Source organism: Homo sapiens, chromosome 16, assembly GCF_000001405.40.
Source record: "Homo sapiens chromosome 16, GRCh38.p14 Primary Assembly".
Taxonomy (NCBI): Eukaryota; Metazoa; Chordata; class Mammalia; order Primates; family Hominidae; genus Homo; species Homo sapiens.
The window spans coordinates 52,203,901-52,213,976 of record NC_000016.10 but is presented as its reverse complement, the minus strand read 5'-3'; positions in this window follow the sequence as shown (position 1 = coordinate 52,213,976).

Sequence of the window (10,076 nt, the reverse complement as noted above, 5' to 3'; positions counted from 1 at the left end):
GCCTCGTGACTGAAACCCCTCCCTACACCAGGCCCTGCCTCCAGTGCTGGTTATTACAATTCAACATAAGATTTAGAGGGGACAACATCCAAACTATATCAAATCGTTTTAGCCCTTCATTTGTATAAACAGATCTGATTGGGAGCCTAGGCAGAAACTTTTGGTACAAAACTCAAACCCTCTTTGTTTTCTGGAAAGCATGGCATCTTTATATTATGCCCAAGGCTGTGTCTCCCTGGTTTGCAAACTGTTCACTGGAATAAAGTCTCTTTCCACCGAATTCCTTTTCAGATAACTTTTGTTCATAGATACTCTGAATAAAGAGGTTCTAAAATGTGGCTGCACATTAGAATCTCCAGGGAAACTTTTAAAAATAATACCAATGGTTGAGTCTTTACTCACTGGGTTTGGGGTAGGACATAGGCATTAAAATGATTTTAAAGGCTCTCCAAATGACTCTAATATGCAGTCTGCGTTGAAGACATTAATGGATTGAATTCCTTTAATTACAGGTGAGATTACCTGAATTCATTATATCTGTATCTTTACATCTGCTAAAGGTGTCATCTCAGTACTACCATTCAGTCATTCCCCTGTTTATGAATATAAAAAGAACTTTCAAAAAATTGGCAGTATCTAGAAGCACAGGTAAATTATATTCTTGGTATTAACTTTTCTGTCTCAGTTATGCTGTAGACAGTATCCTAACATTAGTTTTACTGCTAAGCCATCCATCATTTCTCTTTAATCAGATCTCTCCCTCAAGACACTAAATATCTCTTTTCAGGTGATTTCACCAACTGTTGTGTTTCCTAAGTTGAGTGTGATGTAAATATCATTGGTTCTATTTTGTTGCTTTCATAAGACAACTTCAGCACTGTTCATGTTTGTTGGAAATGTGGCCTCTTAATGGGGCTCACTGAACCAGAGACGTGACTCTTGGAATTTCACAAGCGTGGGAAACCTCTTAAGTAACAACTCTCAATGTGAAACGAGGGAAGGCACTTCATAAAAAGGCTTTCCAATGGCATGTTCCCAGGTCTTCGTAAGTTAATTTGAAAGAGAATACAAAGAACTGATCTCCCTACAAAATGATATTCAGTCATACTCTGTAATTAAAGAAACAAGTCAAATTGACAATGACATCTAGTTTTACCAGCCAGATTAATAAAGGTACTCTCACACCTTTCGGTGAAAATGTAAGTTGTTAAAGCCATTTTCAAGAGTAATCTGGCAATATTGACTAAAATTAAAAATGAACGTTTCCATTGACCTAGATACTCCATATTTAAGAATTTACATTATGGATATTCTTATAAACATATACCAAGGCACATGCAAGACATTGTTCATTTGAGCATTGAGTGTAACAATGAAACATTGGTAACAACCTACACATTCATCAAGGGGGACCAGCTAGATAAATAAGGTACTTTCAACCAGTTGTTGAAAACAACGTGTTAGAGTGGTGTGTGCAAACATAAAATAATCCTAGGATGTGTTATTGAACAAAATAACCAAGCTATAAAATGGTCTTCATGATTTCATTTGTGTAAATTTAAAAATGAAAATATAAGTATGGTTTTACATTTTTATGATCATTATATCTGGAAGGGCATATGAGAAAATTTTAATGATATTTATCTTTGAAATGCAAAGAGTTGGGCAAGAAGGGAGACTTGTACTTTAAAATTTTATAATATTGTGTGCCTTTTGGATCTTAAAACCACATTTATGTATTATTTCTCCTAAGAAATTAAGGCAATTTTGGGATCTGGTGACTCACTTCATAGAAAAAAGGAGTAAAGCAGTCACAGAAAATTCTTTACATAAAATTTTTGAGGGATTGATGAAGAAGAATGCCATATTTGATGTTAAGCGGTCTCTAGCAGTGTTCCCCTTGAATTAATTGTTCTTCAAAGCACGTTTCAAAAATGATCCTCTTGTGTTTATGTAAATATTGATTATATTGCTCTCCATATCTTTATTTTTTAATGTCTAAGACATTTCACTAAAAAAAGTTACCTTCCAAAAAAAAGTTACCATCCTATTGTGTTCAGTCATTCAGTAATTTGAGAAATGGAAGTTAGGATGGGTGGACAGAGTCTTCTCTCTGATCCTTTATTCTCCTGCCTTGATATATTGTAAGTTTCAGGGAACTATCAAATAGAGTGGTTTAGCATTAGTGATTCTCATAGTTTTAATTGCAATATGTGTCATAAAAATCCAATACCTAGAAAAAAAATTTATTTGCAAGTCCTGTTGACTCTTGAAATGTAATATGTCAAAGAAATACCCCAACCAGGCTGTTCATTTCTAATGCCAACCTTGTTCCCTTCCCCTTCTCCCTTCTTCGTCCTCTTCCTTCCTACATCTTGACCTCCACATAAGTGTTTCTCAGACCCATGTCTCATGTCCACTCTTGCTACCACTACCATGGCGTTGCTGTAGTAACCTATGCCTGGATTACAGAACTGGAATTTTTGCTCTTTCATATTAATCCTACTAGAATCATTTTCCTAAAATGCTATTTTATCCGGGTGCCTCTTTTCCTGTATCAATAGAGGCTGCCTATGTGGTTAGATCCACCATCCTAAGCCTGTATTCAAACTCATCAAAGGTCCAAGAAATGTTTTTTGATGGAATTGTTTGATTGAATTGAATCCAGCACTCCCATCTGCTGCATACACACACACACACACACACACACACACACACACACACGCACACGGTACACAAAGACATTTCCAAAATCTGTTTACAGAAAGAGACTCAATTACCTCAAAGACACTACTTGAATCAGAGGAAACTGAAATACCAATAGATGACATGAGTCTCTCCACTTCCCTTCCTTTTTTGACTAGGGATGAGGTGCTATCAAGAAGATGAGGTCAGCTACAGAAATTAAAGTAGTTGTGATGTATTCACCTATCTGCAGGCTTCTGTGTAACTCTGCTGTCTTGCCACGCAGGCATGCTCTCTATAGGCTCCTTGAGGGGAGTGGTAGTGCCTTGTTTCTTTGGAATCCTCCAGTGCCATATAAACCTCTGAGAACAGTTACCCAGAAGTCATGTCAGAACCCAGGCTCGAAGGTGTGTGTCCTGTTACATGGTCATTCAGCTAATTCCAAGGAGGATGTAAACTTGCACGATCTCTGGCCAGGCAGACTTTTTGGTAGCTCATGAGGCTGTGGTCCTTCCTCTATAGAAAGTACTCATATGTGGGGCTGCCTTTATAGAGCAAGCCAGTGTCTCGATGCTTCCTGGGTGTGACTCCCATCTTTGGAGTCAATCTTAACTGTCATCAGTATTAGGAAGGCATCAGTTTTCAATCATAGCACACATTGGGTTGGGGTCTGAACAGCAGCCTTGGAGTCCAAAAGCTACTTTCAGTATTACAAAAGATCAATAGAAGTTGTGTAATGGCTGCAATAGCATCATATTGGCCATTCTGGAGTATGCAATTTATTAGAAAACATTTTTCCTAATGTGGAGTTGCTGATGGGAAATTAACAAAAAGGGCCTGTGTTAGAGCCTAGTTGGTCTCTACATTCTTTCCAGGCTCCCTTGACATTCTTTAATTCAGTCTAGCTGGTGCATGAACTTGACAGTCGAGGCAAGATACCCTCATTCCATCTGCCATTTTGTTTCTTCAGAGCCTAAATACAGTTTTATCATTTGGGCAGTGCCCTGTGTATTGGGCAAATATCCTAATTTGATTTTGACGGCATCATCTCCCATCTCAAATCTTCAGGCCTCTGTATCTGTCTAAACCCACATGGTTAGAAAATGCTTTTCTTTTCTGTTCTTTTTTTAAGCTGGAATCTGTCAGCAGAATTTTCTGCGTTTGCTTTTATTTCCTGGGTCTCTTCTTTCTGTTCTATATATTCATTTTCTTGTGTCTTTCCCTGAAGCTATGCATGTTTTGCTTTATGTTATTTTCCAGATTCAACTTCATCAACACAGTAGACATCAAACCCATTTGTTTTCTTCTTTTAAGATGCTAATGTTTATCCATTTATCAAGTATCATCGATGCACTGGTCACTGTAGGATGGGCTGTGCTTCTTACAGCCCTTTACATGTTTTTTTCTGATAATTTGATAAATTAATACTGCCTAGTAAAGTACAATTAACATTTAGTAATCAAAGGTGTAATGTAAAGAGTGAGTTGTACCTCCCTCACCATAATGATAAGCAAAACCTTTTATGTTGTGATGTCTTAACGGTTAGCTGCATGAGTGCTAAATGTTGCTTTTAATTAAACAATAAAGAATGTAACACCCTTTACAGTATCGTTATAAATTTTGATGTGGTACACCAATTTGATTCTTTAAAAATTAATTGCCTAGGAGTATGTTTAAGTAGTGTTGATTATGTTGGTTCCTCATGTTGATCTGTGATACTTAACCCAACATTTAAAATATCTTTTTTCCATTATATGTTGTGATGCAAGAATAAAAGCAAAGTACAAAACAAATAGGCACTTGAATTCTAATAGCAATAAGCAATAAATGTCAGGCATCTGGAAATTATGGTTGCAATTTCATCAGAGTACACTTTGTTCTTCTATTATGCCTGCATGAATTTTGCTACAGGCAAAATCTATTACAGATAACAGTTAAGAACCTTTCTAATCTACACAGATAGTCATGGCAAAATGCTAAAAAACTAAATGTTGGAAAATGTAATATTGCAGGGGAAAATTGACACTTGTAGAAAATAATGTGGTCCTATTTAGAACCACAAATGGTAATAATTTCTTTAAGATTATGGTGTGGTGGATGTTTCTGTGATGGGTGACCCAGATGAAGGACACGGCACTGGTAATGAATCCTGTTTTGCTGGCTGATGTGTGTGCATGTAGGTAGATGCTTATCTGTAAATTGAGGGGTGGGGTGTGTGCTTAATGATTGCTACCTGAAATTGTAATTACAAAGTCAGATCACACATGAGAAGCCTTGGTTTTTTCCACTGTCCTTAGGTACATTGGAGAGGAATATTTCTAGTTTGGAGCCACTTGACTCCCCTTGAGAGAAAGATTAGTTAGTATTCACCATTCTTGATGACACATAGTAACCCTGGATAGTTGTTTGGTAAATTTACTAACTGAGTTTTCAGAAAATTGGTCCCTGGCTATTAACTTGGAGAAACAGTTTTCCTGCACTTAACTCCAGCTTAACCTGCCTCATAGGGATTTCAGAACGTTTGAACTAGAGTTTGAAAATGTGGAATCTGTAATTGACTTTCTTCTCTTCATCCTCTTTATTTTTCACAGCCATTCAATATATATATACGTTGTCATCTGGATTAATAATGTATTACTGTGTAACTAATTACCCCCAAACTTAGTAGCTGAAAGCAACTAATGTTTATTATCTCACAATTTCTATGGGTCAGAGACTTTGGGAGCAGCTTAGATGTGTGGTTCTGGCTTGGGGTCTTTCATGAGGTTACAGGCAGGATGTCAGTCAGGGCTGCAGTTAACTAAAGACTTGATGTCAATCTGGAGATGGAGAATCCTCTTCAAAAAGGATAGCTGTTAGCAAGAGATCTCAATTTCTTATAGGTGATGGACAGGAGGCTTCTGTTTATTACCTTGTGGGTCTCTCTACAGGGCTGTTGAGTATGCCCATATCATGACATCTGGCATTCCAGAGGGCAATTGATCTAAGAAAGAGGAAAGCAGCCACAGGTCCTTCTAAGACTTGTATGGTTTGGCTGTGTCCCCACCTAAATCTCATCTTGAATTATAGTTCCCATAATCCCCAGGTGTCATGGGAGGGACCTGGTGGGAGGCAATTGAATCATGGAGGCAGTTACTTCCATGCAGTTCTCATGACAGTGAGTGAGTTCTCACGAGATCTCATGGTTTTATAAGGGGCTTTTTCTTTTCTGCCAGGCACTTCTCCTTCCTGCCATCATGTGAATAAGGACATGTTTGCTTCCTCTTCTGCCATGATTATGTTTCCTGAGGCCTCCTTAGCCATGCAGAAATATGAGTTAATTAAACCTGTTTCCTTTATAAATTACCCAGTCTCAGGAAGTTCTTTATAGCAGTGTGAGAATGGAGTAATACAATGACCTAGTCTGAAAAGTCAAACATTGTTACTTCTCCCATATTGTATTCGTTAAAAGTGAGTTACTGAGTCCTACTCATATTGAAGGGGAAATCTCAACTATGCCTCTTGACGGGAGGAATATCAAAGAATTTTAAAACCACCACACCACCCAAACAGGGCACACCAGCATGGGCTCCCAGGGCAGAACTGTTCTCCAGGCCTGCTCAAGTGACATGTTCTCTGGAAAGACCTCCTTCACTTCTCTAACCATATTCTTTTTTTTCTTCTCTCAAACCTGGATAACTTAGCATCTCATCACTTTGAGTATGTTGTCTTTGATTGCTGTAAATCACTATTTCATGTATATATTTCATTTCTCCCCAGTAAAATGTTAATTGTCTCAAACTTTATGTGCTCTAGAGGTGATTCCATTTTAGGCAAATTACTGGTGCTCAGTAAATCAAGAAGGGAGGCTGTCCAGCATGGTGAATGAGAGCAGGGCTTTAGAGTCCAAGAGTCCTAGTTCCAATTCTGACTTCATCATTGTAAAACCTTAGAAAGCTATTACACAGGGGCCACTATTAGAATGTAGTGCACAAGCCTATTGTGAAGATTTCATGGGTTAATGCATGTTAAGAACATAGGAAAGGATACACAAATTGTAGGTATTATCACTGTATTGTTGCTGTTTATAGTTTTTTCACATGTCCCTAGGCCATTCTTTGTATTTTATATATATGTTATATATAACATAGATACATCATATATATCAAAGTTATATGAAGTTATATGTTATATAACATATATATGTGATATATACATTTTATATATATATCTCCACTGACTTGGATTCTTGTCCTACCAACTTCCTGTGTGACATTGAGCAAGCTCTTCTCTTTCTCAGCCTGTTTTCCTCATCTGTAAAATAAAAGGGTTGTATCAGACAATTTCTATTATCTTTCTCTAACTCATTTTGTCTTATATAGGTATAAATGAAAATAGAAGAAATTGTCTTTAATCTGGACAAGTTCTATAGGACACACCGTGCTGAATCTTACAGAGAAGAACTTGGGTTAGAAGCTAAGATGCCCGGGTTAGGCTTGTTTTTTGAAGGAAGATGAAGACTAGTATTTATTGAGTACCTATTATGTGCCAGGGTTTCTACATGTGTCATATCATTAAATGCTTACAATTATCCCTCTGTACTTTCTCTCCTCTCTTTATACCCATCCCAACCCATCTCCCATCCAAGATCCTCACTAAAGGTTACGGTCTCAGGTCACAGGACATACGTAGCAGTGAGGAGTTGTGGATCCAGTTCCATCTGATTCCAATCTCAGATCCTTCTGTTGCCCCTGGCTACCTACATTTGAGCAGGATGTGAGTGACCTCTTTGCAGATGTCTTTTTTTCTTTCTTTCTTTTTTTTTTTTTTAAAGAGACAGGGTTTCACTCTATTGCCCAGGCTGGAGTGCAGTAGCTCAATCATAGCTCACTGTAGCCTCGAGCTCCTGGGTTCAAGCAACCCTTCTGTCTCAGACTCCCAAGTAGCTGAAACTACAGGTATACAACACCATGTTCAGCTAGGGTGTGACCTCTTGAGTAAATGACTTAACCTCAGTTTACTCTTCTGTACATGGAAAAGTCTACTCAGGTAACACTGGAGAAGCAGCAGCAGGGTCATTTGTGTAGCTGAGTAGCTCTGGCTGGGTCAAGTTGAGGGGAATGCTCAAAAGTCCCCATAGTTTCTGCATAAATCCAGTAGGCAATTACCAGCTGTTTTACCACTGTGACTTAGTCTTACTGACCCTAAGAAGGTTAAATAATTTGATATGAAGATTGCAGGGCTTCTGCTAGGGTTTTTGAGAGTCTGTACAGGAAAGTTTTGCTTACTTGTTTATTGCTTTGGTGTCTTTTGGGATTTTGCTTTTATTTTTATTTATTTTTTTTGCCCTGGTTCCTCTAAGGTTGGGAAACTTGGCTTTGTGTGGCAAAGCAGGGAAGTGGCTCTGTGGAGTTTACCTCATTTACTGCTCCACCTCTTATGGGCATCCATTCAGATTGTCAGAGGGTCCTTCTTAGAATGCAGGCCATCAGTGAATATCACAGCCTCCCATCTTCAGGAGGCTGTGGGAGGCTCAGCTGGCCAAGTCCTGCCTACCCAGACTCTGAAGTAGGGTTTTGTCAAGGTTTCCTGGTGTCTGAGAACAGATGCTTAGGAAGGAGGAAGGACTAAATTCTTCTCCATGCATGTATGAGCATGAGGAGAGGGGATGAACAGAGTGGGCCATGAGAACTACGTAACAGGCCAGGGCGGCAGGGGGATGAGATGACTACAGAGCAAGAGTGAAGGGACATAAACATGGAACATATCACAAAGAAAGGTGGGATTGACTTCAGTGCTCAGGGTGGGGCCCTGGTGCCCACGGGTGTCTTGGATGAAACACAGGCATTGGAGAGCAGGAAGGTACTAAATCCAATTCTTTAACCTAGAGATAGAAAAACAGGTGGGCCTTGGGTATCCTCTCTCTCCCACTGTCACTGTCCACCTGATATTCATGTCAGCCCTTATCCTTCCTGAACTGAGGTCTCTTCAAGGTAAGAAGGAACATCTGCCTTCTGAGGCAGAGAGCCCAGGATTCAGGGGCAACAATCCTGTTCTCACTGTTGACCCTACAGACCATTCACCAGACGCAACCAGGGAAACTCTTCAAATGTAATTCGGGTCACATCACCCCCTGGCTTACAACCTTCCTATCAGGTTCTTGATCTGCCTACAAAGAAAATAAGAAATATTAGTGTACTAAAAATATTAGAAGTTCTAATTGTGTGTATGGGTTTCAACTGTAATGCTAGACTTCTGTTCCTAGAAGTGATTCAGGCACCATGTTATTGTAGGTTGAAAGGTATGTAAGGGTAAGACATATTTTCCTTTAACAAATGCCTCATTCCAGGACAAGTCTAAAACAAATTAGCCTAATTGTAGAATGTAGCATCTTGGTCTCTTAGAAACTTGTTTCTTCTATTTTACTTTTTGAATATTACCTCTAGTTTTAGAGAACTTGCTTATTGAAAGGGAAAAACAAACAGAACAAGAGCCATTTTTAAAAACAATCATACGTAAAGATGATGCCTGCAGTGATTTCCTATCATAGGGAATAAAATCCAAATTTCTTACCATGCCAGTATGTTCTTCATAACCTGATTGCAGCCAACCTCTCTGACCTCATCTTCTCGGTCTCCTCTTATTCACGCTTCCCCAGACAGATGTGTCTTTTTTTCTGCCCCTTCAATATGCCAACTTTGTTCTCTTTTTAGGGCCTTTATACCTGTAGTCCTCTTTTCCTGGAAAGTTCTGACAAATTTTGGCATGGCTGTCTCCTGGTCAATCCAATCTCAGGTCTGAGTAGTCACATAGAGAGGTATCCCTGCCTATCCCATTTTATGTGATCATATAACAGGTATAACCAATGGCAATTGTCGTGTTAATTTATTAGTCTATAGATTTATTATCTGTTTCTTTACCTGAAACATGAGCTCCAAGAAAACAAGGATTATAGCCTGGCCACTCCTTTCAGGATCCCCAGGGCTGGGCCAGTGCCTGGTAAATATTCACTGAAGGAATGAAGCATTCTTGGCTTTTCCACTTGCCACCTGTATGACCCTGGGGAAGCCACTTTATTTGTATGTTAAAGTAGGTTACAAAATGTACTTTTACAAAGATGAATTTTATATATATATATATATACACACACACACACACACACACACACACACATACATAATGCTTATCACAGTGCCAGATTCATAGAACATGTTGCACAATTAGAATATGTTTTTCCCAAAAGGCCTAAAACAATGCTTATGTGAGTGTGCTCATAAGTGCACACGGTTGACACTGAATAACTATAGTTGATTGAACAAAATAAGTTTCTTGGATTATTCAATTGCTGAGACAGATCTGCAACACAGGCCCTCCTGATTCCCAGTTTAGGGCTTGTTACATCTTCGGTAATT